This window comes from Homo sapiens, chromosome 3 (genome assembly GCF_000001405.40).
Source record: "Homo sapiens chromosome 3, GRCh38.p14 Primary Assembly".
In the NCBI taxonomy this organism is placed as follows: Eukaryota; Metazoa; Chordata; class Mammalia; order Primates; family Hominidae; genus Homo; species Homo sapiens.
The window spans coordinates 131,676,012-131,694,460 of record NC_000003.12 but is presented as its reverse complement, the minus strand read 5'-3'; the positions used below and the strand labels follow the sequence as shown (position 1 = coordinate 131,694,460).

The following is an 18,449-nucleotide window of genomic DNA, read 5'->3' as shown; positions in this document are numbered from 1 at the left end:
TGTGGACTATGAACTTGTGGTGGTCATGTTTACAAAATGCAAACTGCCACAATATTTTTGTGATAGAAATAGAATAAAATAATATAATTATTTCATGTCACAGCTGGAAAAATAGTTCCCAGATGCTCTCAAGGAGGACCCTTTTCTAGCTTTTAGCATTAAACAATTTTATAACTATCTACATGTTTGCAGTTAAAACTTACTGTATCTAGTTATTGTATGACTAAAAGTCACTATAAAATAAACAATGCTCCTAATTTTTTATTATGTTAATGAATATCATGAAAGTCACTAGTTTCTACATACACTTAAAAATTGAAGTATGAATATGTAGGAAAAATATGCTATATCCAATTCAGACGGTGGTTGTAGGATGCCTGCCTGGATCTCCAGTCCCTTGGCAGTAACTCTGGTAGCCCCCAGGAGTCTACATACTTTAGGTAGAAAGCCACTGTCTAATCCAACTGCCTTATTTTATAGATGAAAATTTTAAAGTTTAGAGATGTGGCATGACTTACTGAAAGCCACACAGGCACACACTCACAAAAAAATCAGTGCAAGAGAGGGACTCAAACAGATTGCCTGACAAAATCTAAGTCTTTTGGAGCAGAGAGTTAATGAATAGAAGGTGGTTTGGTCTCAGAATATGGAAGACTTGGAAATGTTTTCATGTATTTCAGGGAAGTAGGAAGCCAGGAAGAGGGGAGGTAAGAGGGGAGGTAAGAGGGGAGGTCAGGCAGCAGTCCTCCAAGTGTGATGCATGGTCCCAATACCTTTGCAGGGGAACCCATGAAGTCAATACTATTTTCATAATAATGCCAAGACATAATTTTCTTTATTCACTCTCATTCTCTCACACATGTAAAGTGGAGTTTTCCAGAGGCTGCATGATGCCTAATATCACAACAGATTGAATACAGCACAAATATAAGGATTCTGCTGCATTCTATTAAGCTAATCATTAAATTGGTTTGCAAAAATGTAAACTAATACCATTCTCACCATTTTTTAAGTTTGGAAAATATAATTATAATAATTTTTCCATTAAAATACTATTTTTGTTATGATGTAGTAGGTTTATTTTATTATTTTTAAACAATGTAACCAATATTTTAACAATTTAACAGTTTTATAATATGGTAAATATTAATACATACAACAAAACAAAAGCTCTTTGGTATCCCCAATAACTTTTAAGAATGTAAAGGGGTCTTAAGACCAAAAGTTTGAGAACCCCTGTTATAGGGTATATGGGAAAGCACTAAGTACTTTTGCAAACCACAGTGACAGAGAAATGCACCATTCTTTTTGACAGAAACAGTCATTTTTAATTTGTCTTTCAACAGACTAGCAATCATCTCCACACTCTTCAATGAGAGTGAGTACATAAAATAGCTTAGGTTTGTGATAAATAACTTATTTATCTAATGTTAATGCAATTCACTTAGTAGAGAAAGGGACTTTCTAACTTGTAAAGCACATTTGTTACATTAGCAACTAGTCGGCAATTAATCTAACAAGTAAGTAGAGACAGAAATGTAATAATCACTTTGGAACATTCAAGCTGACAAAGGATTCTTTCTTTTCCCATTCTTGAGAAAGTATTCATATTGGTGCATTGGAACTAATTCCGACACTGGTGGTCTCCACATATGTAATAGTAATCATTATAGACTGCATTTTCAGTGTTCCCATGATGCTAGTTTGATGGGGTGCAATATAAGTAAACAAATCTGTCTCTAAAGTAGAGGTTGGCAAACTTTTTAATAAAGGGCTAGTTGATAAATATTTTAGGTTTTGCAGGACACCTGATCTCTGTCCCCACTGCTCAGCTCTGCCTTTGAAGCATGAAAACAGCCATAGACAATACAAAAATGAATGAATGTGGCAGTGTTCCAATAAAACTTTATTCACAAAAACAAACAGTAAGCCAGATTTGGCTCATGTGCCATAGTTTGCTGACCCCTACTCTAAAACAATGTAAAATCTCTACCTGCTGTGATGTGATTTTACTATGTTTAAGTATGCCTGCTTGAAACTGTAATCTGGTCTGCATTAATGATAGAAAATTATAATTATTGAGCATCTATTATGTGCCAAGTATCAGGTGTCTAACCTACATTATCCCCAAAGCTCATAAGCATATTCCCAGAAGTTAGTATCTTTATTTCCATTTTATAGATAAAGCATACTCAGATCAGACATTTCCCAGAGTCACAAAATTAATAAGCTGTACAGACTGGATATGCCTACATCTTTCAGATAATTTCTTCTAGGTCCAATATTCCATTTTCAAGATCACCGTCATGGGTATGAACTGCTTCCTAATTGCTTATCACCCTCTTACTTAGCTAAATTTCTTTTATATTGAACTAAAAAAGCAGAATAATATGGTCTCTGTGTTATTAAAGAATTTTACCACAGCAACACTTCAGTAAAATGCCCTATTCATTCATCTTTTTTGAACTGAACTGTCCCAATGGCCATCTTAGTGCTAATAATCAAGTTTTAAAAAGCTGAAAATTCCAAATTAAAGTGACCACACAATTAGACCCAGAGTTGTTGTTTTGAAGCTATGAATTTCTGAGCGTACACTTGAGATTTTGAGGTGCTTATGAATTATTTCATTTCCATGAATCAGATGCCTTCTTAATAGTAATCACCCCTGATATTTGTACAGTTTTTTACAAAATGCCTTCATGAATTTTTTCTTCTATTGATAATCATCATAGTAGCCCACTTTTTTTTTAATATTTCAACTTTTATTTTAGATGCAGAGATTACATGTGCAGGTTTGTTACATGAGTATATTGCATGACACTGAGGTTTGGAGTACAATTGATCTCATTACCCATGTAGTAAGCATAGGACCCAATAGGTAGTTTTTCAGCCCTTGCTCCCCTCCCTCTCTCACTGCTCTGGTAGTCACCATCGTCCACTGTTCCCATCTTTATGTCCATGTGTACCCAATGTTTAGCTCTCAGAAGTGAGAACATGTGGTATTTGATTTTCCATTGCCGTGCTAAGTCCCTTAGGATCATGGCCTTCAGCTGCAACCAGGGTGTTACAGAAAACATTATTTTTTTATGGCTGTGTAGTATTCTATGGTATATAAGTGCCAAATTTTCTTTATCCTATTCAATGTTGATTGGCACCTAGACTGATTATATGCCCTTGCTATTGTGAATACTGCTTTGATGAACATACAAGTGCATGTGTCTTTTTGGCAAAATGATTTATTTTCCTTTGGGTATATACCAGTAATAGGATGGCTGGGTTGAACGGTAGTTCTGTTTTAAGCTCTTTAAGAAATCTCCAAACTGCTTTCCACAGTGGCTGAACTAATTTACATTCCCACAAACAGTATATAAGTGTTTCCTTTTCCCCACAGCCTCACCAACATCTGTTATTTTTTGACGTTTTAGTAATAGGTATTCTGACTGGTGCGAGATGGTATCTCATTGTGGTTTTGATTTGCATTTCTCTCACAATCAGTGACATTGGGCATTTTTTCATATGTATGTTGACCACTTGCGGGTCGTCTTTTGAGAAGTGTCTGCTCATGTCCTTTGCCCAATTTTTAACGGGTTTATTTATTTATTTTTGCTTATTGAATTGTTTAAGTTCCTTATAAATTCTGAGTATTAGATCTTTGCCAGACAAATAGTTTGATAATATTTTCTCCCACTCTATCAGCCACTTGTTTAGTCTGTTAATAGTTTTTTTTTTAACTGTGCAGAAGCTCTTTAGTTTAATTAGGTCTCACTTGTCAATATTCTTTGTTACAATTTGTTTTTGTTGCTTTTGAGGACTTCGACATAAATTCTTTGCCAAGGCCAACATCCAGAATGATATTTCATATGTTCTCTTCTAGGATTTCTATAATTTGAGGTCTTACATTTAAAGTTTTATTCAATCTTGAATTAATTTTTGTATATGGTGAAATGTAAGGGTCAAGTTTCAGTCTTCTGCATATTGCTAGCCAGTTATCCCAGCATTGTTTATTGAATAGGGAGACATTTCTTCATTTCTTATTTTTGTCAACTTTGTCAAAGAAGAGATGGCTGTAGGTATGTGGCTTTATTTCTGGATTCTCTATCCTGTTCCATTGGTCTTATGTGTCTGTTTTTGTCCCAGTACCATGCTTCTTTGGTTATTGTAGCCTTATAGTATAGTTTGAAGTTGGGTAATGTGATGCCTCTGGCTTTGTTCTTTTTGCTTAGGATTACTTTGGCAATTCAGGCTCTTTTTTGTTCCATATGAATTTTACAATAGCTTTTTCTAATTCTGTGAAAACTATGTTTATAGTTTGATGTAAGTAGCATTGAATCTGTAGATTGCTTTTGGCAGTATGGCCATTTTAGCAATATTGATTCTTCCGATCCATGAGCATGGAATGCTTTTCCATTTGTTTGTGTCATCTATGATTTCTTTCACCAGTGTTTTGTAGTTTTCCTTGTAGAGATCTTTTACCTCTTTGGTTAGATGTATTCCTAGGCATTTCATTTTTTCTAGCTGTTGTAAATGGGGTCGTTCTTGATGGAGCTCTCACTTTGTATAGAAATGCTACTGATTTTTGCACATTGACTTTGTATTCGGAAACTTTGCTGAAGATCAGTTCTAGGAGTCTTTCACCATAGTCTTTAGGGTTTTCTAGGTATAGAATTATATCAACGGCAAAGAGAGACAATTTGACTTCTTTTCCTATTTGGATGCCTTTTATTTCTTTCTCTTGCTTGAGTGCTCTGGCGAGGACTTTTAGTACTATATTGAACAGGAATGGTGAGAGTTGACATGCTTGTCTTATTCCTGCTCTTAAGCAGAATGCTTCCAGCTTTTGCCCATTCAGTATGATGTTGGCTGTGGGTTTGTCATAGATGGCATAAGCATAAGATGGCTTATTATTTTCACGTATGTTCCTTCACTGCCTAGTTTGTTGAGGGTTTTTATCATGAAGGGATGTTGGATCTTATCAAAACCTTTTTTCCTACGTCTATTGAGATGATCATATGGTTTTTGATATGTGTACGTTGAACCAACCTTGCTTCCCAGGAATAAAGTGTACTTGATTGTAATAGATTAAATTTTGTTGTGCCACTGGATTTGGGTTGCTAGTATTTTGTTGAGGATTTTTGCAGCTAACATTTTTTCAGTCTTCACCGTGTACCAGGCAATGGACTCAACACTTCCCATTCACCAGGTCCTCTAATTCTTCTTTGTCACTATGAGGCAAAGGTTGATACTCCTTCCATTATGAATGGCAAACTAAGCCTTGGAGAAATTAAATATTTTGTCCACAGTTATTCAGATTATATGTGGTAGAGTTGAGATTTGAAAGCAGTGCTAAAGCCAGTATGCTGCGTATAGATTTTCAGCTACCTGAAGACAGAGGCCATTCTTGACCTTTCTTTCATTGACATTTTAGTATGCCCTCCTGACAATAACTTCTTGCCTAATTCATTCATGGTATTTAAAAAGAATGTGAAATAAAATAGAAAAAGCATTGTAATATACAACATGTAAATATGTATACAACAAGCAAAAGAAATAGGGTACTAAATTGTACATAGATCATGATTACAAAATTTTTAAAAAGAAAGACAGAAAAGTATATGTAGAGTCTAGAAAAAGATTTATCAAAATTCTATTGATGGTTATGGAATTTTGAATTCAGTTATGGGTTCTTTTTTCCTTCTTTTTATTTTTGTCATCTGTTTTCTATATTTTTCATTTTTAAATAAAAGTGATGGTAACAAAAGTTTTAAATTAACAGTAAAGAGGGAAAAAATGAGAAAGTTCTTACATTGTGGTTAGCAGTTTTTAAGTATGAATCATAAAAACATCCCCTGAGGGACCAACAATCTATTTAAAGAGGCAAAGCGTGAAGTTACAGGAGGAGCCCAAGGGCACGTAGGAACAAGCTACTGTAGCCCACATCCATAGGGAAAGGGAGAAGAGAAGGAGGTTTTAATTTTTTAAGATGCATGTAGAAACAGAAACTGGCCTAAGGGGCAAATGAGTAAATGCATAGAGGTGGGAATCAGCTAGAAGTGCATCTGAGAGAGAAATGGGCCATTTTGGGGGAGAGACGATGTTTGAAGGGCAAGATTATGATGAAAGCCACCATTTTGGGGTCTTGACAAGATGAAGGCTGTGGTAATCTTCTGAAGGCACCTTCAGAAATAGAGTAGTAGCGGATGTTCCAGACTCTGGGTGTTGTGGAGCATCTTGTTTGGTTCCTGGTTGCATGGGAAGGAAAGCAAAGCGGAAGATAGTTATTCCCACCTCTCATCTCCTCCTTCTAACATATACTACAAAGTTTCTAGACTGGCATTCTTCACTGCAGAGCCAACTATATTACTTTTCTGCTCAAAATCCTTCAATGATTCCCCCTGCCTCTCCAGGCCAGTGCAAAGACTTCAGATGAGCATTTAAGGCCCTTCACATCATGGGGCCAACTTTGCCAGCATTGTCTCCAATTCCTCCCCTATGCTTCCCTAGGCTATAGTCTTATTAAATTACTTGGGGTATCCCCCTCTATGTCTGTGAAAAATTCATCAGCTCCCCTCTCTTCCCTCAATACTCCTTATACCTTCATTCATTCATTCACTCATTCACTCATTTATACCTAGCCCTAGGTTATATTTATTTGTATACTTTTCTTACCAGCAACCTAGATGGTACTTTGGAAGACTGAGATCAGGTTCTATCTGTCCTTATATCTTAACATCAAGCACAAAAACTCTGTGATCAGTATATGTCCTACAAATATTTTGCTGAGCTGAAGACTAGGATGGCTGGTAAAGACATTGATAGTAAGGCAAAATTTAGAAGTAGAGACCAAACAAAGGAAAATAACGAGTTTGACTCTGGCTTGCTTAACATTTAGGAATAATAAATGACTTTTAAGGCAAATATGGGCTTAATTCTACTTTGCTAAAGTCTAGATTTCTGGAAAAAAATTACTTGGTGAAATTCGTAATAAAAATGTGATGGTGATGAATAAGGTTTTTGCTCAGATAGCCTCCTATCCTATACCAGGTATCCATTCACTTATTTATGTATTTATTCATTCATTCAATAAACACTATGTACTATTAAAATCTAGACACTATGGAAAATGCTGAGGAAATAGCAGAAATATAAAGGAAAATAAAGTTTCTCCTCTTTGAGAATTTATAATCTACTGGGGGTAAAAATCAAGTTTTTAAAAGGGATGGAGATAGGTTCCATTCCCAACAATGAAGCACTTAGTTATTTTACATCACTCTCTCACTAAAAACAAATATAAACACTAGAAAAGACACAAGAGACATGTATTTGAGAGTCCTGAGGCAGTGTAGATTTGAGGGGCCAAGAAACTGGACAGAAGAGAAACCCATGGAGGTGCTTAAGACATTCTGTGCAGATTTTCCACTCAAGGGAATTCCTCAAGGCTGATTCGTAAAATAGTGTGGATAGAAAGTCTGGGAAGCCTAGTTTAAAAAAATAGCTACTAAGAAACAGAAACTGAGCAGAGCTTTTGGTGGTCTCATGGGGCTGGGGAGAAAAACTGAAGTTCAGGGCTATTGAGAGAGCAAAGGATAAAGACTCATAGGTGCATCAGAGAAGACAAGTAGTCCAACAGTATGAGTGGCTTATCATCTCAAGGCGTTTGCTAATTAGCAAAAGCAGCATAGAGAGAAACTGAACAAAAACCTAGAGCTAAGAAATTATGAAAATAAACACAGCATTTGAGGTTCTCACAAATAAAAATTGGCATTGAAGACTTGTCAAGGAAGAACACCCCTCGTGAACACTCAGGTTTTCAGTTAGGGTCCTTTTAGGACTATACCCAAGGAGTAAAGGAAATCAGAAATGGATAGGGGCTTTAAAGACATTTGAAGAAATTCATCCTCTAAATAGCTTAATCCTAATTGGATTCAGGAGACTTCTCCCCTTATAACCACTTGCTAGAAGCTAAAGACTCATGTAAAAACCTTCATAATCTTCATTACACATTGTCTACTATTTAATAAAAAATTAACAAGCATACCAAGAGGTGGAACTAAGAAAGAGATAATAAAAATAGACCTATAGGTGATCCAGACATTGTAGTCATTACATAGGCATTAAAATAACTATAATGAACCTGTTTAAGACAACAGATACAGTGATTTTCAAAGAACTGGAATTTGAACTGATCTTTGAAGAATACTTTGAATTTCAACTAACCAAGTACTGACTTTACAAAGAACTTAGCTTTCAGATGCAGTCCATTCTAGCCAAGGGTGGATCTCAGGGATGAGGATCAAAGGAAGAAAGGGTGGGGCTCATGATCACAGGTAAAGAGAAGAGAGTTTGAGTAGAACTGGGCAGGAAGAGAGGACAAGCATGGCCTCCCTTCCACATATAAAAAATAGGAAATCAAGAGGGTTTTCCTGTTGATTAAATATTCCTGATTGATCAGGACTAGATCAAATGCAGGAGGAAAAACAATTCATTGACGTTTATCTATTTTAGGATTTCTTCAGTAAATCTGACCCATTTCTGGAAATTTTTCGTATGAATGATGATGCAACTCAGCAGCTGGTGCACCGAACTGAGGTAAGAGTCATCTTCAGCTATGCCCTCTTATCTCCTAAGATGATGATAAATTGACCTATTTTGAGAAACTCCTTTTTGTGTGTGTGTGTGTGTTGAGGTGGAGTCTCGCTGTGTCACCCAGGCTGGAGTGCAGTGGCGCAGTCTCGTCTCACTGCAACCGCCACCTCCCAGCTTCAAACAATTCTCTGCCTCAGCCTCCTGAGTAGCTGGGACTACAGGCACCCACCACCACGCCGAGCTAATTTTTGTATTTTTAGTAGAGATGGGGTTTCACCATCTTGGCCAGGCTGGTCTTGAACTCCTGACCTCATGATCCACCCGCCTCGGCCTCCCAAAGTGCTGGGATTACAGGCGTGAGCCACCGCGCCCAGCCTCCTTTTACTTCTTAATGTCTGTAGATATCAACTAAGGCCTGAAATCTTCAGTGTCCTCAAGAAGGTTCTGCCATTTTTAGCTTTTTTTTTTTTTCACTTTTAATCCTCAATTTAGTTGTCAGAAGAGCCTTTCTAACCCCAATTTCTATTGTTAACTTTCAAAACAGACAATTAGCAACTTATTCATAATAAAAGTATAAATACTAGCTATCATTTAATGAGGATGTTTAGGCATCTAGGTGCCAAGCATTAGACTGTTATTTACATGCATAATTTTATTTCTCACAAAAATTCCTCACACATGATGATGATGATGATGACCCCCATTTTACAGTTGAAGAAACTGAACTTTAAGGAGGTTAAGTAACTTTCCCAGGTCTCACAGCTAACAAAGGATGGAACTCAGGTTTCAATTGAGGTTGTTTGACTCTGAGCTTCATGGTAATTTGGGAAGTCAATCTGCTTCCCCAGGGAAAGTACATACATTGCACTGATGTCAGTCCTATCATATGAACACCTGACCTTTCTTAGCAGCCACTTAGTCTAGTTGTATCTCCTTCTCACTCTTCCTCTTCTTTCTCCAAGTGGCCCCAACTTTATCTCTTATTACCTTACCCCCTACTACCCACTACCACACACACATTCAACAACTAACCACGATCTCCATTTTTCATTTTATTTTACTTGTAAGCCAGTCCAAGAGGGATTTTGTAGGAGTGAGGTACATTGATAAGAAGGAAGTGATATTCTTGTGCTGAATTACTTGGAGCTGAGAGAAGACCCAGTTATGCTTGCATACCATTTGCAGAGTGAAAATAAAAAAGAAACCCCCATGACTTTCATAAGGTGGTGGTGTGGTTGCTATATCCCCAAAACATCACATTGGAAATTCAATTTCCTGAAGTGACAGAGTTGCAGGTGTTGTTAGGGGAATGTTTCATGTCATTGTTATGATAGACAAAAATTAAATAGCCTTGGATGGGCTAGCTGTGGATATCATCTGATACAAAGTTGATATCTAAAAAAAGTGTTTAATAAAAGAATAAATAAATAAATGCTGTTAAATATAAATAGTATGTCTATTGCATGCTATAGAACAATGTAATTCTTTGGAACTTAATCCATGAAGAATAAATTGAGGTGCAGCTAGCACAGTTGCCCTGAGTGGCATCTCATTACCACCACCAAAAGAGGTCTTTCACCCGTTAAGTTTCCTTATGTGAAACAAACTTCTTTTGAGGGAAATAGAGCAAGATGGCCAAATAGAAGCCTCCACTAATCATCCTCTAATTATCCTACCCATAAGAACACCAAATTAAACAACTCTCCACACACACACAAAAAGCACTTTCATAAGAACCAAACATCAGGTGAATGACCACAGTACTTGGTTTTAACATCGTTATCACTGAGAGAGACACTGAAGAGGGTAGGAAAGACAGTCTTGAATTGTTGATACTACTCCTCCCTCATCCGCTTGGTAGTGGCTGTGTGGTGCAGATACAGAATCTGTGTGCTTGGGGAAGAGACAGTGATTATGGGACCTTGCACTGGAACTCAGTGCTGCCCCATCACAGCAGAAAGCAATACTGGGCATAACTCATCCTGCGCCCATGGAGGAAGAATTTAAACCAGTCCTAGCCAGAGGGAATCACTCACATCAGTAGTAGAAACCTGAGTTCTGGCAATCTTTGCCACTGCAGGCTGAAGGGCTCTGGGGTCCTAAATAAATTTGAAAGGCACTCTAAGCCACAAATACTGCAATTCCTGGGCAAGTACTGGTGCTCTGCTGGACTCATAGCCAGTGGGCTATGAGGGTATACAACCTAGTGAGACACCAGCCAAAGTCACCAAGGGAATGCCTGCACCACCCCTCAGGTGCATGCACCACCAAGGAATGCGTGCCCCATACCCTAAGCAGTGCAGCACACGGCTCCAGGAGACACTCCTCCCTCCCACTTGAGGAGAGGAGAGGAAAGCATAAATATAACTTTGTCTTGCAACTTGGATACCATCTCAGCCACAATAGAATAGGGCACCAGGCAGAGTCCTGAGGTCCCCATTCCAGGCCGTAGCTCCGAGACGACATTTCTAGACAAACCCTGGGCCAAAAGGAAGCCTACTGCCTTGAAGGGAAGCAGGATCCATTACCTTCTGAATAAAAATCTCTTGGTCCCCAAATAATCAGCAGTTGTAGCCAGGCTGTACTCACCATGGGCCTTGGGTGAAACACAGAGACATGGTGGCTTTAGATGTGATGCAGTGCATTCCCAGCTATGGTGGCTATTGGGAGATATTCTGCTTGAGCAAAGGACAGGGACAAGTAGAGGGGACTTGATTTTGCAACTTAGGTACCAGCTCAGCCACAGTGAGATAGAGCAGCAATTGGGCTCTTGGGGTCCCCGATTAAAGACTTTGGCTCTTGCACAGCATTTCTGGACTGGCTTTGGGTAAGAGAGGAGTCCACTTCCCTGAAGAGAGAGTCCTATGCCTGGGAGCATTCACCACAAGCTGACTAGTGAATATTTGGGCCCTGAGTGAACGTTGGTGGTAGGCAGGCAGTACTTGCTGTGGTCCTAGGGTGGTGGTGGCCAAGGGAGAGGCTACTCTGCTTGTGGAAAGGGGAGGGAAGAGTGGGAAAAACTTTGTCTTATGGCTTGGGTACTAGCTCAAACACAGTAGAATAGAGCATGAGGTAGAGTCCTAAGGTTTCCGACTCCAAGCTCTGGCTCCCAGATGGCATTTCTGGACCTGCCTGGGACTGGGAGGAACTCACTAACCTGAAGGGAAGGACATAGCCTGGCTGACTTTGCCATCTCCTGATTGTAGAGTACTAGAGCCTTGTGTGAACATAGGTAGTAGCCAAGCACGGTTATCCTAGGCCTTGGGTGAGACTCAGTGCTATGCTGGCTTCACATCTGACCCAGTGCAGTCCAGTGGTGGCAGCCACAGTGGTGCTCGTGTCACCCCACCTTTAACTCCAGGCAGCTCATTACAGACAGACTCCATTGGTTTGGGAGAAAGTAAAGGAAGAGGAGAAGGGTTTCCACCTGGTAATCCAGGGAATTCTTCCAGATCTTATCCAAGACCACCACTGTACCTCTACAAGTCTGAAAGAGCCCAGCATCACTGAGCTTGGGATGCCCCCTAATGCAGATACAGTCACAGTGACCAAAAACAGACCACGACACCCAAATCCCTTTGAATACCTGGAAAGCCTTCCCAAGAAGGATGGTACAAACAAGCCCAGGCTGCAAAGACTACAGTAAATATATAAATCTTCAATATCCAGATATACTGGTGAATATCTACAAGCATCAGGACCATTCATGAAAACATGCCCTCAACAAACAAACTAAATAAAGCACCAGAGACCAATCCTGGAACAAAAGAGTTATGTGACCTTTCAGATAGAGGATTCAAAATAGCTATTTTGAGGAAACTTGAGGAAATTCAAGATAACACAGAGAAGGAATTCAGAAGCCTATCAAATAAATTTAACAAAGAGATTGAAATAATTGTAAGAAATCAAGCAGAAATTCTGGAGTTGAAAAATGCAAATGACACACTATATAAGGTATCAAATTATCCTAACAGCAGAATTGATCAAGCAGAAGAAAGAATTAGCTTGAAGATAGGCTATTTGAAAACAGACCATCAGAAGAGATAAGAGAAAAAAGAATGTTTAAAAATGAAGCATGCCTACAAGATCAGGAAAATAGCCTCAAAAGGACAAATCTAAGAGTTATTGGCCATAAAGTATAAGGAGAAAAAGAGATAAGGGTGGAAAGTTTATTCAAAGGGATAATAAGAGAGAACTTCCCAAACTTAGAAAAAGATATCAACATTCAAGTACAAGAAGGTTATAGAACACCAAACAGATATAACCCAAATAAGATGACTTCAAGACAGTTAATAATCAAACCCCCAAAGGTCTAAAGAAAATATCCTAAAAGGAATAAGAGAAAAGAAAAACAAATTACGTACAATACAGCTCTAATACATCTGACGCAGAATTCTCAGTAGAAACCTTAAAGACCGGGGGAGAGTGGTGTAACATATTTAAAGTGCTGAAGGAAAAAACTTGTATCCTAGAATGGCATATCCAGCAAAAATATTCTTAATTATGAAAGAGAAATAAAGACTTTCCTAGACAAACAAAAGCTGAGGGATTTCATTAACACCAGAACTGTAAAGGAAGTTCTTCAATCTGAAACAACACAACATTAATGAGCAATAAGAAATCATCTGAAGGTTCAAAACTCACTGGTAATAGCAAATACACAGAAAAACACAGAATATTATAATGCTCTAATTGTGGTGTGTAAACTACCAATATTTTGAGTAGAAAGGGTAAAAGATAAACTGGTCGCATGTTTATAGCAGCACAATTTGCAATTGCAAAAATATGGAAACAGCCCAAATGTCTATCAGTCAATGAGTGGATAAAGAAATTGTGGTATTTATATACCATGGAATACTACTTAGCCATAAAAAGGAATGAATTAATGGCATTCACAGCAACCTGGATGGAACTGGAGATTATTATTCTAAGTGAAGTAACTCAGGAATGGAAAACCAAATATTATATGTTCTCACTTACAGGTGGTAGCTAAGCTAAGATACAAAGGCATAAGAATGATGCTATGGACTGTGGGGACGCAGGGGAAAGGGTGGGAGGGGGTTGAGCGATAAAAGACTACAAACTGAGTGCAGTGTATACTGCTCAGGTGATGGGTGCACCAAATCTCACAAATCACCACTAAAGAACTTACTCATGTAACCAAATACCACCTGCCCCCAAAAACCTATAGAAATAAAAAAATTAAATAAATAAAATACATTTCTGTGGGGAAAAGAAGACATAACACTCCCTTAGAAAGAAAGTATAATGAAATACTTTTATTTTTCTATTTATTTTCTTTCTATGAAAGGAAATTAAAAAATATTAACTACAACAACTTTTCAAGACAGAGTCATTAAAATAATATATAAACAGAAACAAAAAGTTAAAAAGCTGGGGGACAAAGTTAAAGTGTAGTGTTTTTATTAATTTTTTCTTTGCTTGTTTGTTAGTTTGTCTGTTTCTTTATGTAATCAGTGTTGAGTTGTTGTCAGTTGAAAATAATGGGTTTTGGTACGTAGTCTTCAAAAGACACATCTCACATGCAAGGTCTCTTGACACATATAGGCTCAAAATAAAGGGATGGAGGAAAATTTACCAAGCAAAAGGAAAAAAAAAAAAAAGCAGGGGTTGCAATCCTAGTTTCCAACAAAACAGACTTTAAACCAACAAAGATCAAAAAAGGCAAAGAAAGCCATTACATAATGGTAAAAGTTTTAATTCAGCAAGAAGAGCTAACTATCCTAAATATGTATGCACCCAACATAGGAGCACCCTGATTCATATAGCAAGTTTTTAGAGACCTTCAAAGAGATTTAGACCCCCACACAATAATAGTGGGAGACTTTAACACCCCACAGACAATATTAACAAATTATCAAGACAGAAAATTAACAAAGATATTCAGGACCTGAACTCAGCACTGGATCAAATGGACCTGATAGATATCTACAGAACTCTCCATGCAAAACAATAGAATATACATTCTTCTCACCACCACATGGCACTTACTCTAAAATTAATCACATAATCTCAAGCAAAATACTCGTCAGCAAATGAGAAAGCACTGAAATCATAAAAACAGCTTCTTGGACCACAGCACAATCAAATCCGAACTCAAGACTAAGAAATCCACTCAAAACCATACAATTACATAAAAATTGAATAACCTGTTCCTGAATGATTTTGGGGTAAATAATGAAATTAAGGCAGAAATCAGGGAGTTCTTTGAAACTAATGAGCACAAAGACACAACGTACCACAATCTCTGGGACACAGTTAAAGCAGTATTAAGAGGGAAATTTATAGCACTAAAATGCCCAATCAAAAAGCTAGAAAGATCTCAAGTTAACAACCTAACATCACAACTGAAAGAACTTGAGAACCAAGATCAAACAAATCCCAAAGCTAGCAGAAGACAAGAAATAACCAAAATCAAAGCTGAACTGAAGGAGATAGAGAGACAAAAAACCATTCAAAAGATTGATGAATCCAGGAGCAGGTTTTTTTTTAATAATATTATAGTAGACCACTAGCTATACTAATAAAGAAGAAAAGGGAGAAGATTCAAATAAACACAATCAGAGATAATAAGAGGGATATTACCACTGACCCCACAGAACTACAAACAACCATCAGAGAATGTTATAAACACCGCTATGCACATAAACTAGGAAATCTAGAAGAAATGAATAAATTCCTGGACAGATAGATACACTCTCTCAAGACAGAACTAGGAAGAAATAGAATCTCTGAACAGACCAATAACGAGTTTTGAAATAGAGGCAGTAATAAATAGCCTACCAACCAACCAAAGCCCAGGACCAGACAGATTCAAAGCTTAATTCTACCAGATACACAAAAAATAGTTGGTACCATTACTACTGAAACTATTTCAAAAAATTGGAGGGACTCCTCCCTAACTCATTCTATGGGGCCAGCATCATCCTGATAACAAAAGCTGGCACAGACACAACAACAAAAAAAGAAAACTTCAGCGTAATATCCTTGATGAACACTGATGCAAAAATCTTCAGCAAAATACTGGCAAACCAAATCCAGCAACACATCAAAAAGCTTATCCACCATGAGGCTTCATCCCCAGGATGCAAGGTTGGTTCAATGTAGGCAAATCAATAAATGTGATTCATCACATAAACAGAACAAAAGACAAAAACCACAAGATTACCTCAATAGATGCAGAAAAGGCTTTCAACAACATTTAACATTCCTTAATGTTAAAAACTCCCAATAAACTGTGTATTGAAGGAACATACCTCAAAATAATAAGAGCCATATATGACAAACCCACAGACAACATCATACTGAATGGGAAAAAGCTGGAAGTATTCCCCTTGAAAACTGCCACAAAACAAAGATGCCCTCTCTCACCACTCCTATTCAACATAATATTGGAAGTTCTTGACAGAGCAATCAGGCGAGAGAAAGAAATAAAGGGCATTCAAATAGGAAGAGAGGAAGTCTAACTATCCCTGTTTGCAGATGACATGATCCTATATCTAGAAAACCCCATCGTCTCAGCCCGAAAGCTTCTTAAGCTAATAAACAACTTCAGTAAAGGTCTCAGAATACAAAATCAATGTGCAAAAATTGCTGGCATTCTTATACACCAACAACAATCAAGCCAAGAGCCAAATCATGAATGAACTCCCATTCACAATTGCTACTAAAAAAAAAGAGTGACATGCCTAGAAATACAGCTAACAAGGAAACTGAAAGATCTACCAAGAGAACTACAAACCACTACTCAAAGAGATCAGAGATGACACAAAGAAATGGCAAATTATTCCATGCTCATGCATAGGAATAATCAGTATCATTAAAATGGGCATATTCCCAAAGCAATTTATACATTCAATGCTATTCCTATTAATCTACCACTGACATTCTTCACAGAACTAGAAAAATCTATTTTAAAATTTGTATGAAACCCAAAAAGAGCCCAAATAACCAAGGCAATCCAAAGCAAAAAGAACAAAGCTGGAGGCATCACGCTACCTGATTTCAAACTATATTACATGGCTACAGTCACCAAAACAGCATGGTACTGGTATAAGAACAGACACATAGACCAATGGAACAGAATAGAGAACTCAGAAATATGACCACCCACCTTCAACTATCTGATCTTCAACAAACCTGACAAAAACAAGCAATGGGGAAAGGACTCCCTATTCAATAAATTGTGCTGGGATAACTGGCTAGTCATATGCAGAAGATTGAAACTGGACCCCATCTTTACACCATAAAGAAAAATTAACTCAAGATGGATTAAAGACTCAAATGTAAAACCCAAAACTATAAAAACCCTGGAAGACAACCTAGGCAATACCATTTAGGACATAAGCATGGGCAAAGATTTCATAATAAAGATGCCAAAAGCAATTGCAACAAAAGCAAAAATTGACAAATGGGATCTAATTAAACTAAAGAGCTCCTATGCAGCAAAAGAAACTATCAACAGAGTAAACAGACAACCTAGAGAATGGGAGAAAATTTTTGCAAACTGTGCATCTGAATGAGGTCTAATATCCAGCGTCTATAAGGAACTTAAACAAATTTACAAGAAAAAAACTCATTAAAAAGTGGGCAAAGGTACCCTGAAACTTAAAGTATAATAATAATAAATAAATAAATAAAAAAGTGGGCAAAGAACATGAACAGACACCTCTTAAAAGAAGACATACATGTGGCCAACAATCATATGAAAAAAAGCTCAACATCATTGATCATTAGAGAAATGCAAATTAAAACCACAATGAGATACCATCTCACACCAGTCAGAATGGCTACTATAAAAAGTAAAAAAAAAAACAGATGCCGGAGAGGTAGTGGAGAAAAAGGAATGCTTTTACACTGTTGGTGGGAGTGTAAATTAGTTCAACCATCGTGGAAGACAGTGTGGTGATTCCTCAAAAACCTCGAGACAGAACTATCATTCAACCCAATAATCTCATTACTGGATATATACCCAAAGGAATATAAGTCATTGTTATAAACATACATGCACACGTATGTTCACTGCAGCACTATTCACAATAACAAAAACATGGAATCAACCCAAATGCCCATCAATTATAGACTGGATAAAGAAAATGTGGTACATATACACCACGGAATACTATGCAGCCATAAAAAAGAATGAGATCATGTTTTTGCAAGGACATGGATGGAGCTAGGGGCCATTATTCTTAGTAAACTAATGCATGAACAGAAGACCAAATACAGCATGTTCTCACTTATAAGTGGGAGCTAAATTATGAGAACACACGGACATATAGAGGGAAACAACACACACTGGGGCCTATCAGAGGGCAGAAGGTGGTAGGAGGGAGAGAAGTAGGAAAAATAACTATTGGATACTAGGCTTAATACCTGGGTGATGAAATAATCTATACAACCAACCCCCATTCAACGCATTTACTTATGTAACAAACCTGCACATCCTGCATATGTACCCCTGAAACTAGAAGTTAAAAATAAATAAATAAAATAATGGGCCAGCCTCAGTGGCTCACACATGTAATCCCAGGACTTTGGGGGGCCAAAGCAGGCAGATCACTTGAGACCAGGAGTTGGACACCAGCCTGGCCAACATGGTAAAACCCCATCTCTAGTAAAAATACAAAAATTAGCCAGGCATTGTGGTGTGTGCCTGTAATCCCAGCTACTAGGAAGGAGGCTGAAGGAGCAGAATTGCTTGAACCTACGAGGTGGAGGTTGCAGTGAGCTAAGGTTGTACCACTGCATTCCAGCCTGGACAACAGAATGAGACTCCATCTCAAATAATAATAATAATAATAATAATAATAATAATAATAATAATAGGTTATAACATAATATTT

The 18,449-nt window shown here is 37.6% G+C and overlaps 1 protein-coding gene across 10 annotated transcripts in view; it reads left to right on the top strand.

The window, feature by feature from the left end:
* Nucleotides 1-18,449, top strand: part of CPNE4 (copine 4) — a 506,038-nt gene that overhangs the window by 345,146 nt on the left and 142,443 nt on the right. For all 10 annotated transcript variants that reach the window (NM_153429.2, NM_001388326.1, NM_001289112.2 and 7 more), the window contains one exon: nt 8,503-8,586. In NM_153429.2, the coding sequence (NP_702907.1) occupies nt 8,503-8,586 (84 nt within the window). Of the gene's footprint in view, nt 1-8,502; nt 8,587-18,449 lie in introns of those variants that run through there.